Source organism: Homo sapiens, chromosome 1 (assembly GCF_000001405.40).
Source record: "Homo sapiens chromosome 1, GRCh38.p14 Primary Assembly".
Classification (NCBI taxonomy): Eukaryota; Metazoa; Chordata; class Mammalia; order Primates; family Hominidae; genus Homo; species Homo sapiens.
The window spans coordinates 22761345-22775803 of NC_000001.11; the positions used below are offsets into that span (position 1 = coordinate 22761345).

Here is a 14459-nt window from a genome sequence, read left to right on the forward strand (position 1 = left end):
GATAATTATTATTTTGTACTTTATACTTCCATCTGACTTTTCTGTGTTTTCCAAATTGTCTCTAATGAGCATGTATTGCTTTTATAATGAAAAAAATAAATAACAGAGCATCTGGCTGGGAACTATTTGGAGAGGGGTGAGAATAAGCATTGGAGCCATGTCCACACAGACCCGGGTCAGCCACCCCGCTCTTGGGCAGGGCACTTGACACTGAGCACTGAGCCTCCGTTCCCTTGTCTGTAAAATGGGGATAGGAAAGTCTCAAAGTATAGCTGGGAGTGTTGAGTAAGATAATTCCCTAGAGCTAACAATTCTCCTTCCTCCTTCCCTCTCCTGGACCTCTCTCTCCCTGGCAACCCTTCCCCTGGACGCCCTTCCCTGCCAATGCCCAGTTGAAGCAGTTGAAGCCTCCTCCCCGGCTCATCCAGACCCTCATGGTGTGTGCAGTCTGCCAGGGGCTTTCAGGGCTGCCTCAGCAAAGCCCATTTTGCAGATGGGGAAACCAAGGCCCAGGGCAGCCGAGGGACTTGGTTGCCAGCTCTGGCTCCCCAGCAGAGGGAGGGGGGCGTCCACGTGTCTGCTGCGCATCTCTGCCTGTCGTTGCCTTGCTCAGTGTGTGTGAGGGGGCAGCAAGTCACCATCTGTGTTTTCCAATAAAAGAAAATGAAAATTGAAGCACATTAAAAATAGCTCAATTGGGATTCCGAGCGGGGCTCTGAGGCCTGCTGTGGCAGACGCCCAGCCTGCCTCCCCCTCCTCCCAGCCTGGCACCGACATCACCCGGAGTCATCTGAGGCGAACGTCTCCTGGTGGCGTATGGGAAGGGGCCAGGGTGCAGGCAGTGTCCCTGATGGCACCAGGGGCTGCTGGGGACCCCCAATTCCAGTTTCCCAGCTCCCAGCAGCTGGTGTCCCACCAGAGACAGGAGAAAATGGAATTGGGGCCATATGCTGGGCAGACTCCAGACACCCTCCACTCCTTAGGGCTGCAGGACCCTCAGCTGGAACCTCTACCCACTAAGAATGGCTCAGGGACACCCTGTGGCAGAAAGGAAGGTAGCCTCTTCTGGGGGCCTGGAAACCAGGTTCCCAGGCCACCTTTTCACTGAATCCCTGTGCCTTGAGCAAGCCAGGAACCCCTCTGGGCCCATTTCCTCCTCTGTCCAGTGAGGATCTTGGTAGGGGCCAAGGGGTGGTGTGTGAGTGGGCTTCTGAGACTCCTGTCTCCAGCAAGGCTCCTTCCTGGCTTCATGACCTGGGGAAGCCCCTTCCCCTCACTGAATCCCAGTGACCTAGTTGGAAATGAGGATGATTTAGGAGTTTCCTGTAGGGGATGTGTCAGAGGACAAAAGGAGACATCAGCAAGCACTTAGCTTGGTGCCTGGCATGGGCAGGGACTTGACCAATGGCCACTATTGTAATCCATCTCATTATCATGATTTTCTGTGAAATGGGAGTGTGATGGCCCCACACCGTAGCAGGCCTGGGTGAACTCTGCGCTGGCTGCAGTGGCTCATCATAAGGAAGGCTAGCATTCACCCAGGAGTGCTGGTGCCCAGTGATTCCCAGCATCTCTTCCTCCCTCGTGGGTCCAGCTCTCTACAGCAGCATCTAGTGCCTATGACCAGCCACCACGCAGACCCTCAGTGAGGCAGACAAGGGGGCACGATTCCTACCTCGAGGCCCAGAGAGTGCTGGGCAGAGAGCAGCCCTGGATCCACACAGCTAGGCCCACGCAGGGGTTCCCTGCCAGGATCTGAGTGGTCTGAGAGTGGACAGGACATCCATGGAGGACCTGAGCTGCCTGGGTCTGGGCCTGTGCGAGCAGAACCTGGGCTACATCCTGCGGGATGGCCTTGGGCAGGTTGCTTCACTTCTCTGGGCCTCAATTTCTTCATCTATAAAATGGGGCTGATAATAGTTCCTGTCTCATTGGGCTTTGGGAAGACGAGTCCTGGGCAGGGTTTGGTAGGTGGAAAACACTAAATCCATGGTGCCCCTGAGAGCACCAGCCCACCCCCACCTGCAATCCCATCCCTCCAGGACAGAAACTTGCTGGGCCCACCAGGGCCCAGTCACACAGGACCAGCACCTGCCCTGCCTCAGCTCCAAGCCTCTCCTGGACAGGCACACGGTGGAGGTGGGGTGGCTCCCCTCAACCATAGATGTCAACTAAAGTGGCCAGGCCCTCCCCCCCACTTCAAATGCCCTTCAGCAGAGGGTCTGGGTGGTTTCTCAGCGGCAAGGAGTGAGTGTGTGGGGTTCATGGATCCAGCCATCACGGGGTGTGAGAGATGGCCACTTTCTCGACTGAGGATGGTCTGTTAGTTTCTTGTTGCTGCTATGACTAATTACCAAAGTCTTCGTGGTTTAAAACAAGACGCATTTATTGTTTTACAGCCCTGGAGGTTAGACTTCTGAAATGGGTTTCACTGGGCTGAAATGGCCAGCGGGGGGTGAAGGGCACACTACCTCCAGAAGCTCAGGAGGAGGATCCATGTCCTTGCCCTTTCTAGAGACTTCTAGAGGCTACCTGCATCCCAGAGCTTGTGGCTCCTTCATCCCCAAAGTGTGTCATTCCCACCTGGCTTCTGACATCACATCTCTCTAACGCCAACCCTCCCACCCCCTCTTACGAGGACACTCATGATTACATTAGACCCACTTGGCTAATCCAGGATAATCCCCACATCTCACGATTCCTAATCTCATCTCATTTGCAAAGTCCCTGTTGCTACGTAAGGCAACATTCCCAGATACTGGGGATTAGGAATGTGGCCATCTCTTGGGGGACATTATTCTGTCTCCCATAGATGAGAAAGCAAGTCTGCTCAGCCTGGCCCGAGGGTGCTGGCTGATGTTGATAATAACAATATCATAACATCCGCTTATTGAGTGATTGCTTTGTGTTATAATTTGAGTGATAATGACCACGGTCAATATTTTACTGAGTACTTACTATAGCCAGGCTCTGGGCTAAGAACTTAACATGCATGATCTTGTCACAGCCACCTGCGAGGCAGGTACTAATCTTGTTCCTATCCCACAGCTCAGAAAGGGAAGCTCAAGACTTGCCCTGGGGTAGTGGGTTAGGAAGTGGGGTTCAAATGTAAATGACTCTGCCGGGCTTGGTGGCTCATGCCTGTAATCCCAGCACTTTGGGAGGCCGAGCCAGGCGGATCATTTGAGGCCAGGAGTTCGAAACCAGCCTGGCCAACATGGTGAAACCCCGTCTCTACTAAAAATACGAAAATTACCTGGGTGTGGTGGCTCGCACCTATAATCCCAGCTGTTCAGGAGGCTGAGGCAGGAGAATCTCTTGAACCAGGGAGGCGGAGTTTGCAGAAAGCCGAGATTGCACCACCGCACTCCAGCCTGGGCAACTCTCAAAAAAAAAAAAAATCTAAATGACTGCTGAGGCCACTCTCTCAGACCCTGGGATGTGCCGCTGGATAGGCCATTAGGCCATTTCCCTGGTGTTTGGACCTAACACCTGGGTTCTGCTGCCAGGTTCCCGCTCCCCTGCGACTCGCTCCAGTGGCAGATACAAGAACTGCTTGATGGGGTTTCACCCTCGCCAGTTTGGGTTCCTCCAAGCAGGGGCTGCGGTTGGGGCAGATGCACGGGAGGCGCTCAGAGAGGGAGTGTTAAAATGGGAGGAGGGCAGAGGCTGGAGGACAGGCAGGGGTGCTGAGGGCTGCTTGTGGGAGAGCAGAGTGGGTGTCTGTCTGAGTCTAATTCTGTATCTGGGTGAGGGTGAGGAGCCGGACATTCTGGGAACCAATTCTGGCCACACCACTGAGTGTTTGACAGGGAGCCTTGGCCCAGAACTCTGAGGCTGTCTGTAGCATAGGACCCCCACTGCACTCTGCTCCTTGCAAAGCCTTTAGGGAGCACCAGTGTGTAGAAAACCCTGAGTCTAGCCGGGTGCAGTGGTTGACACCTGTAATCCCAACACTTTAGGGGGCTGAGACGGAAGGATCACTTGAGGTCAGGAGTTCGAGACCAGCCTGGCCAACATGGCGAAACCCCATCTGTACCAAAAATACAAAAATTAGCCAGGCATGGTGGCGGGCACCTGTAATCCCAGCTACTCAGGAGGCTAAGGCAGGAGAATCACTTGAACCCTGGAGGCGGAGGTTGCAGTAAGCCAAGATGGCGCCACTGCACTCCGGCCTGGGTGACAGAGAGAGACCCTGTCGCAAAAAAAAAAAAAAAAACATTGAGTTCATCCCGTGAGCACCGGCATTCTCCTTTGCTGGAACCCTGGGGCCCTTCCCCAGTTCTGTCTTTCCACCTCTCCACGAGCTTTCCGTCACTCTGAGTCTTAGGCCCCACACATTGCTACCTCACCATGGGATCTTGGACCAACCCCCAGGCTGCCTCAGTCTTTCCGTCTCTGCATTGGGTGCAGAGATTGCTGCATGCCAGCAATCCCTAAGGCCTCAGCTCATGATGTGACCCCTTCACAACCTTTGTGGGACTGACAAGGAACCTCCCCACCCTGGGAACCCGCCACTGGCCAGTTCTGCTCCCTGGGGTGGGGGCAGAGGGGACAGAAGCCAGGTACAGGAAGAGGGCCTCCTGCAGGAGCATGTGTCTTCCCTGCTCCTTCAGTTGGAGGCTCAGGGAGGATTCCTTAGACATTCCCTGTTTGTGGCATCCTCCTCCATCAGGGTCTTCCCGCCTCCCCGGAGAGCTCAGCTGTAGCCAGTGGGAAATGGGACAGATAATTGCAAGTTTAAATAAGGCCAAGTGAACACTCCCTCCCAGGCCCAGCACAGGGGACTCTCTGAGCTTTGAAGGGAGGCAGCCGGGAGGAAGCCTCAAATGGCACTCAGAGTCCCAGCACTACCACTGCCTCCCTGGTGACCCCAGGCAAGTCACAGCCCCTCTCTGAACCTCAGTTTCCTCATCTGTGAAATGGGGACCACATGGCATCACCTAGGAAAAGTGGCTAGCACAGTGCCTGGTACATTGAGCACCTAGTAGGTACTCAATAGCTGGAAATGAGGATTATGATTATTATCCCTGTTCAAATGCAGCGTCCCGCTCATCCCACCCCACTCCAGAGGTTTCTTTGGGAGCTGTTCTCAGTCGTGTTGGCCTCTAGGGGAATGAGGGGCAATGATGATTGTGGTACTAGCCTCCCCTGAGCTAGGCTGACTGTGCCAGGCCTTGTGCAAAGGGCGTTGTGTCCATACCTATGAGTAGGTGTTATTTACTATTCCCATTTCCCAGATGAGGTCACTGAGGCTGCAGTCCTATGGTGGTTGGGGGGAGGAGAGGGCTAGCAGGGAAGGAGTTGGGAGCCCATCAGCCTGAGGGGACCACCCACCACACACCCCATCAGAGAAGCATCCTGTCCCAGTGGGATGCGAGCCAGCGTGGTGAGATGCTTGAGGTTCCGGGTCCAATTTGCCCTTTATAGGAAAAAATTTCTGAGCCTGCTCCCAGCATCAGTAGGTCTGACTGGGCTGCCCCAGGCTGCTGCTATCACCACCAATACAGAATTCCTGGTGAGAAGGAACCCCAGTGTGGGGCTGGGGAGCTGATGAACTGACTGGGCAGGGCACTGGGCCCAGCTGTGGCCTGTGGTCCTGTGGCCTCCGGCTCTCATGTGAACCAGCGGAGTGGCACAGCCAGCAGCTTGGGAGGCTTCTGTTTGGCTCAGGAACAAGGCCGGGTCTGCCATGTTTGTGGGCTTAGCACAAGGCCATCTGACATAGCCTCTCCTTGTGCCTCAGGGAAGCTGTCTCCAGGTCACACTGGGCACCAATGGCCTTCATCCTCCACTTAGCAGCCCAGCATTGCAGGGCCTCAGGCCCAGTCCAAAACCAGACTAGGAAAGGGCATCAGACACACTCTGGAGGGTGAATTGGAGCCCAGAGAAGGGGCATCTAACTCAAGCTGGGGAAGTGGGGGGTGGTCTGATTCCATGCTGCCACCTGAGCCCTTCCCGACGCCACTACCTGCATCAGCTCTCACCTGAGACTTTCAACTCCCAAAAGGCTCCTTGGGATCATGAAAGGAGTTTGGGTCACACAGCCCAGAAATCAAAGCCTGCCTCCCTCACCAACTTGCAGCCAACTTGCAGGGATCTTGCCTGCTTACTTGTTCTCTCTGTGCCTTGGTTTACTTATCTGCAAAATGGGGACAATGATCCATCCCTTGAAGGGTTTTGGAAAGCTTAGAGGAGCTCAGGTGCTATGCTGGGTGTCCGTTGCATGGGACAGTGCCTGGCAGGTCGTAGGTGCTCAGTAAATGGTAGCTATGGTGATAGAGATGCTAGGGGTGGAAGTAGCATTCCCTCACCTCCTGGTCCATGTCCTCCTTCCCACCACTGGCCCAGGGTGCCCCTCTTCCCCCTGTGTCTTCTCCACCTCGAAGGCTCTCTTGATTTCGAGCCCTGCTCCATGTCAAGGGCCCCACCAGCCCCCATTCCAGAAGCTGGCTCTTTAGCTGGCATTGCCTCTCAGGGTACCAGTGGGAAATGGTGGGAAAGCAATGGTCACTAATGATGAAGACATGGAGTCTCTGGTGAAGATGGTGATGGGAAATCACTGAGCAGCTCTCCTGAGAAACATCGACATGCGAGAAAATGTCCCAGCAGAGCCGTGACTGCTTAACTGCCTGAGATGCCAGGTGTGGTTGGCAAGAGAGCCCAGGGAGTCACACTGAGCAGAGATGGCACCCTGGGGTGTTCTGTCACTGCATCCACACTGCTGAGGGCTGCGGAGGCGGTCCTGGAGCCAAGCGTTACTGTGGGAGGGATGCAGGCATTCTGGAAACGTCTCCTCCGAGGCAGCAGCCTCTCTCAGAAAGAGCGAGGGCTTTGGAGCCATCAGACCTAAAGTGGAATCTCTTCTCTGCTCCTGACCAGCTGTGTGGCCTGGAGAAGCCCTCCATACCTTTCTGATCCTACAGTTTCCTCATCTGTAACATGGATCCTTTACACAAGAGAACACAGCAACAGCTGTCAGGCCACTTCTTCTGTGGTCCTCTGCTGTCTTAGGGATGAAGTCTTAGTCCTTCAACCTGGTATTCAAGACTCTTTGTGAGGCCAGGCACAGTGGCTCACACCTGTAATCCCAGCACTTTGGGAGGCCGAGGTGGGAGGATCACATGAGACCAAGAGTTCAAGACCAGCATGGGGAACATAGCTAGACCCCAGTCTCTACTAAATAAATAAATAAGCAAGCAAGCAGGGCATGGTGATCACACGTGTAGTCCCAGCTTCTCAGGAGGCTGAGGTGGGAGGATCAGTTGAGCCCTGGAGGTTGAGGCTGCAGTGAGTCATGCTGCCACTGCACTCTGGCCTAGGTAACAGAGAGAGATCCTGTCTCCATTAAAAAAAAAAAAAGAAGACTCTTTGTGGTGTCTGGAGTTCTCTTTCCCCTAGGCCTTCCTTCTCCCTCCTGCAGGTTCTTGAAGGGGCCCTGATCATTCTCTCCTCCCGGCCTTTGTACAAGCTGTTCTTTCTGCCCGAGACACCTTTTCCCCTTCTCCTGGTGCTTCCTCTTTCCCTCCTCCTTTTGCCTTGCTGTCTCCTACTCAATTTGGGGTTCAAGCCAGTTGCCACTCACTTGGGAAGTCTCCTCTAACCTCCAGGCAGGGTTAGGATTCCTCCTTTGCTGTGGGATCCCCCTTATAGACTGGGACCCCTTATGTCTGGGATCCCCCTTACAGACTGTAGGACAGGGGACCGTGGTAGGGGTGAGGCTGAACCTGGTTTAAGTTACCATTCACTGGCCCCTCTTTGGGGTGGGATGGGCCCCAGCCATGTCCATATCCATAATGTGATATGGACAACAGATTCACAGGCCAGATGGGGTCCTCGTGAAGCAGGCTATCTGAATGCAAAGGGAAGCCAGGTTCCAGGGCCACAGAACAGAGCCCAGGATTCCAGACTCAGCAAGGGCCCAATCCACAGGTAGAATGTGGAGCTTGGAAAGTGCTTGGGAACTAGTGGCAGGAGCCAGACAGGGCTTAGGGTTTGCTCCAAATCAGTAAATTTCTTTAAGTCAGTGATAGTATCTATTTTTGATTCTCCAATACTTTTTTCTTTTTCTTTTTTGAGACAGAGTCTCATTCACTCTGTCACCTAGGCTGGAATGCAGTGGTGAGATCTCAGCTCACTGCAACCTCTGCCTCCTGGGTTCAAGTTGATTCTCGTGCCTCAATCTCCCAAGTAGCTGGGATTACAGACATGCACCACCACACCCAGCTAATTTTTGTATTTTTAGTAGGGACAGGGTTTTGTCATGTTGTTCAGGGTGGTCTGGAACTCCTGAGCTCCAGCGATTCACCCACCTCAGCCTCCCAAAGTGCTGGGATTACAGGCGTGAGCCACCACGTAGAGCCTGATTCTCCAGTACTCAGCATGGGCCTGACACATAGTAGGTGTTCAACACATGCAGGCTGGCTGGATGGGAGGAGTGGATAGCAGATGTATAGATGTATAAATGAGTGATGTGAATGGATGGACAGGTAAATGAATGGGCGAGTGGATAAATGAATGGAAAGAAGAGAGGTAGGGAGGGAGGTTGCTTCAGAGGAAGGGAAAAAACCGAAGTGGGATGCTGGGCATAGGGGTGAGTGGATAAATTGGTGGTGTAAGGATAGACAGATGAATGTGGTAAATGAGAAAATGAGTAGATGAATAGATAGATGGGTGAGTGGAAGGCAAGATGGCAGAATGACTTCATAAATAGCTGCTTGGATTGGGTGATTTGACGAATAGATGGATGGATGGATAGGTGAGTGTGTGGGTGGGTGGAATGTTGGGTAAGTGAATGGATGGGTACACGGGCGGGCAGATGGATAAGCGTATAGATGTGTGCGGATGGGTAAATAGGTAGGTGGGTGAGTGAGCAGATGTCAAGATAGTTTATGGATGATTGCAAGGATTGGATGGTTGGAAAGATAGATGGATGAGTGGGCGTATGGGTCAATGGGTGAATGAATAAACAGTAAATTTCATGTAGCTAAATGCCTGACACCCTGCCCAGAAGCAGAGGGGTGGTCTGGGTTCTGGGATTTGAGTTAATTGTCCTTCACTGGGGGAAACCAGTGCCAATTAGGCAAATACATCAAGTCCCAGCAGGTCCTGCAGCAGGCTTGCTAATTGACTCCAACCCAAGAGACCCCAGCTTGGACTTACAGTGGCCTGTGTCTTATTGATTTGTAATTTACACTCCATTCACATGCAGAGGGATTTGAGGTGACTTATAAGATTAAACCTGCATGCAACAGGACAGTTAGAAATAAAGTGAGACAGCTAAGAGGCCACATAGCAAAGTGATTAAAAGAGTACCTGGTTCAGCTCCTGGATCTGCTGTGTACTCGCTGTGTGATGTTGGGCAGGTTACTTAACCTCTCTGAAGGTTATTTCCCCCATCTGCAGGAAGGAAGGGATGAAGGGAGGTTGGTTCAGTAGGAATATGAATGGATACATATGTGAGATACTAGTGGATGAACAGGTGGTAGAATACTGGGTGAGTGGAGTGGGACAGATGGATGGGGTGACAGGGTGGGTAGGTGGATGGATAGATGGGTGGGTGGGTAAGTGGGGACAATAATCAATTATCGCATGGGGCATTGTGAGCATCAAAACAGATAATATGTGTGACAGCTCAGCGCAGTAAGTACTTTGGATTATCTACTATGTGGAGCCATCTTGATACCAGCGACTGCATTTCCTGGAGGAACAGCTCAGACACCCAGAATGATGATGTCAGCAGGAAAGAGCATTTAAGGTCTGGGTGGGCCTGGGTGATCAGGAGTAAGGTGGTTTTAATAGAGAGGCTGGTGGCTACCACAGTGAACCAGACTTGGCCCTGCCTACAAGGCACTTAGAGTCCAGTTGAGGGACAGATGAGTAAAAGAAAGTTGCAGGACAAGGTGACAAGTATAATGATGGGAGACACATATAGGACTCTGGGAGCCCCAGCACCAGGGTCATCAGGGAAGCCTTCTCAGAGGAGAAGACATTTGAGATGGGTCTTAATGAACATGTCTGAGTGTCCTAGGCAGGCCAGGAGGGCGAGGGACATGGCAGGGAGAAGGAACAGCACCTCGAGTGCCAACTGTGGAGTGAGGCTGTGTCCAGTGGGCAGAGGGGAGATGCACACAACTTAGAACCACTCAGAAGGGGTGCAGCTATAAGCAACTGGGGTTCCCAGGCCCCCTGCCTTCATTAGCCAGCCTGAGGGTATCTCAGCTCTGCCACGTCTTGCAAGTGACTGCCTCTCTGAGCTTTCCTCCCCTCTTCTGTAAAATGGCCCTGACAATTGGTCCTCCCTCAGTGGGTCCCATTAGGATCTCAGGAGATGAGTATTAACGTGGCAGGCATTGTTCCATGCACACGGTAGCTGCCCAGTAATGCCAGCTGCCATGATGATACTTCTTTACCTGCTGAATAGATGTGAAAACTGTGGGTTCATTTAAGTAAAAAGGCTTTAAAAATTAAAGAATCACTGGGCAAATGCTGGCTGTGAGATGCAGCCTGGTATGTCGGGAAGGCTTGAGGGCGACTGGCCTGGGTTCAGTTTCTGATTTACTATGTGGCCTTGGTCAAGTCACCTAAAATGGGACCAGTAGCAGGCGTCCCTCAGGGTTGTCATGGGAACTAAAGGAGCACTTAATGTGTCCAGGGCTGTTCCCGTCCCTGCCTCCCTTCTTTCCCTTCCCCAGCAAGCCCTGGTGTTCATTTACCACCCACCCCACCCCCAGCAACCCCGTCCCAGACCCCCATCCATCATCCTGTCCTTTGCCGAGGTTAAGTGGGTCCCCAAGTAGCGAATCCAAACTCTCCCAAAGCCCTGGCTGCACAATGTGGCCCGCTGTTAGTGAGCAGCCAGGCTGGCCCGGAGGATTGGGTTTCAGCCGGGGCGGCCAGTGCTGGCGGATGCCCAGGCCAGCGGCAGGCAGGCAGGGGACAGAGCAGAGGAGCTGGCGTCACAGGGACTCCTCCGCCTAGGCCTGAGAAAACAAGAGCAGGCTCCAAGCAGGCAACCGAGGCAGAGAAGGGCCTCTGAGTGGTGGGAGGACGAGAAGGGGTGTGTGCTATGAGAGTCCTCGGGCAGAAGGATTTTACATTAGCTGGGTTCTCTTTCCTCGAGACTGAGGGCTGAGCAGGGGGCCGAGGTAGAAAAACAACGTGCTGCTAGTTGGTAGATTTCACTTTAGAAAATCTGCATTCTTCTAGGAGCTAGTCGGGGGCTTCTCTGGCATCTCCACCTCTTGCCTTGCTTTGGGCCAGTGAACCCAAGGCCATCCTGGGCTCCCATTCTCATGATGTTTATAGAGGAGAGGGCTCAGGAAACTCAGTCAGGCTGGCCTGGGTTCAAATCTCAGCTTGGCTTCTTTCTGGCTATAGGACTTGGGGCAGATCTCTGAGCCTCTGCAGTCTCAGTTTCCTCATCTGTACAGTGGGATAAAGGTATGGGCTTTACAGGGCGTGCAGAGGGTTTAGCTCAGAGCCTGGCAACGATAGCACTGGTAGATGAAAGCAGTGATTCTTCCTTCCCTTTCCTGAGGCAGCATAGTCTAGTGGCTTCTGGGATCAGACCAAAGGGATCAAATTTTACCCTGCCCCTTACTGGCCTTGTGGCCTTTTGGAAGTCCTTGATCTCTCTGAGCCTTGGTTTCCCCATAAGTTTGCTCTGGGATGTAAATGAGACAATATCGATGAAGTGCCTGCCCCTAGGTGGCCTCCACCACCTTTCCCTATGGTTCTGTATGGTCCAGCCTTTGCATACTGTAAAAACCTTTGGCTCCCAATGCCTCCTTTGATCCTCAAAACAACGCAGTGAAGTATACAGAGCAAGGATTTTGTCATCTCCATTTTACAGATGAGGAAACAGAGGCTCAGAGAGGAGAAGTGACTCTTCCAAGCTTGTCAGTGTCCTTGTCTTCTCCTGGAATTTCTAACTTGGACCATGAAAAGAGTGCTGTGACCATGGACAGTCCGGGTCAGGCCTCCAGGCTGTGAATGGCATCTTACCAGGCCACGAGATCCCAGCCAGGCCTAGCTTCAGGCCACCTCAGCCCCACCAGCCCCAGACAGGGTGCAACAGGAACCGCTGGGAAGAGCCTGGGCTGGCATCTGCTGCATGGGTCTCACACCAGGCTGATTTGCTGCCTAGGCTACAGGCCACTGGTCAGTCTGTAGGCGAAGACCCGTGGGTGTAGCTATGAGGTGTCTGTTCATCTTCAGCTTCAACCCTTCCCCCAGCTGGCCCCCAATTCTAGCCTAATTTCCTCTGCCAAGACCACTCTGTGACCCAGCGGTTCTCAGAGCAGACCACATCACTACCCTCTTCAAGAATCTTCCATAGCTCCCTGCTGCTTATGGGAGAAGACCCAACCTCCTTAGCCCCACATTTGAGAGGCCCTCCACATTCTGGCGCCCTGTCCTGTGCTACCATCTCCTTCTGTGAAGCATTTTGCTCCCACTACATGGGACGGACACTCCAGCATGGCGCAGTGGCTAAGGACATGGGCTTTGGTGCGAGGCAGACCCGGCTCCATCGCTTCCTGGCCATGGAAACCTTGAACAACCTCTCCAAACTTTGATTTCTCCATCTGTAAAGGGAGATCCTAAAGTACTTACTTCACAAATAGTTAACGATGAAATGGGATAATGAGTGCTAAGCGCTTGGCCTAGAGCCCACCACTGAGAGCCAGTCATCAGTTTTACGATTGCCCAGCCTTCCCCGATGTCTTACACTTCTGTGCCTTTGATTCTGCTGGGCCCTGTATGTGGCGTGCCCTTCCCTCTCCTCCCAGCTCACATGCCACCTCCTCTGAGATGCCTTTCCAAATTTCCTGCTCAAAGCTACTCCCTTCTTCCTCTGGGTTTCCTGGCTCCTGGCCGGGACCAGCCGTCTCACTCCGCCTCTCCCTGCAGTAAGTTCACACGTCGGGCACTAGTCTGGGAGCTTTTTGAGGGAAGGGCCTGCTGATCTGCCTCTGTGTCTCCAGTGCCTGGCTCAGGGCCTGGCACACATCGGGTGGAGGAGATGTTCATTGAATGACCATGACTTTGTTACTTAACCCAGCCAGAGCAGGAGGAGTCAGGACAGCTGCCAGGAAGAAGGAAGAAGGAGGCTTTGAGCTCAGTTTTGGAAGAGAAGTTAGCCAGGCTAACAAAGCAAGAAGGGCCAGGCGTTCCAGGCAGAAAAATCTAGAAAGGTCAAGTCACCAGTGTTCAGGGAGGTAAAGTGACTTCTGCAAGCAGGAGGAAATTTTGGATGGCTGGATACGAGAGACACGGAAGACGGTGGCTGGAAGGTAATTAGCTGGCCTGCTTGGCAGGGGCCTCGAGTACCTTGTTAAGAGCTAGGACTTGATCCTTCAGGCAGCAGGAGCTCTGAAGGGCGATCACACATGGACTTTAGGAACATCACCCAGCTGCTGTGTGGAGGTTGGATGCATGTGCTAGTGCCAGGCCTAGTTCTCAGTGTTGAGGGTACAGCGGTGAACAAGGTGGATGCAGACCTCCCCTACATGTGGGCCCTGGGAGACATCAGAAGAACAGGATTCACCTACATGGTGTCATTTAATTCTCACAATGACCCATTTTACAGATGTGGAAACTGAGGCCCAGAGAGCAGAACTGGCATTCCTGCAATTGTACACTAGAGTGCCAGAGCCAAGATTCTGGCCTGGGCAGTCTATGTCCCACTCCCCTGCTGCCCTCCTCCTGCCCCTTGCTATTCTCACACAGGCCCATGCAGAGAGAGAAGATAAATGCACACACACAAGCCCTGATGACTTTGTTGTTTTGTGTTGTCTGTTTTTTAAGGCTATGGCCATGGCATCTTAAAAATAACACAGTTGTGAAAATAGATGGATGTGGGTTCCAGTCCTAGCCCTGCCTGTGTGCACTTATGCAGGTTGGTTCTCCTGTCTGGCCTCAGTTTCCTCGTCTGTGAAATGGGGTTAATAATAGTATATACTTCTGGAGGTTGCGCCTGAAATGGCATTTAGAGGGCCCTGGCCAGCGCTTGGCATGTATAGGTGCTTAATGAAAGTTTCTTCTTCATGACTTTGGAACACTCACATACTGTCATTAGTGCAGACAAACAGCATCTGTGGTCCTAGAGAATTACAGCCCACAAGGGGATCAGACAGAGCTGGCTAGGGGTGGATCGGAGAATAGGGAGCAACCACCCGCTCCAGCCTGAGAGCAGGCAGGCCCCCTGCAGCCACCTCCTTTCAGCCCAACGCTAACGACTTCAGTGTGTCTCCCCTTTAAGTTCAAATATTTCTGAAATGTACACTGCTCATTCACACATAGCCAGAGGGGCCATCGGGCCTCCCCAGCCCGGCAGTCAGGGCCTCCTGATTGCTTTCTTCTGTGCAGCCTCCAGGAAGGAGAGGGGGTGTGGGTACGGTAGGGATAGGGCCAAAGTCACTCCCATGGCTGGGCCCCTGTTTTCACACTGAGGAAGA

The 14459-nt window shown here is 53.0% G+C and overlaps 1 protein-coding gene across 7 annotated transcripts in view; it reads left to right on the plus strand.

The window, feature by feature from the left end:
• Nucleotides 1–14459, plus strand: part of EPHB2 (EPH receptor B2) — a 210663-nt gene that overhangs the window by 50507 nt on the left and 145697 nt on the right. Inside the window, exon 1 of one of the 7 annotated variants that reach the window (XM_006710441.5) lies at nucleotides 12965–13295. Coding sequence (XP_006710504.1) covers nucleotides 13256–13295 — 40 coding nt within the window. The 5' untranslated portion in view covers nucleotides 12965–13255. 7 annotated transcript variants of the gene reach the window in all.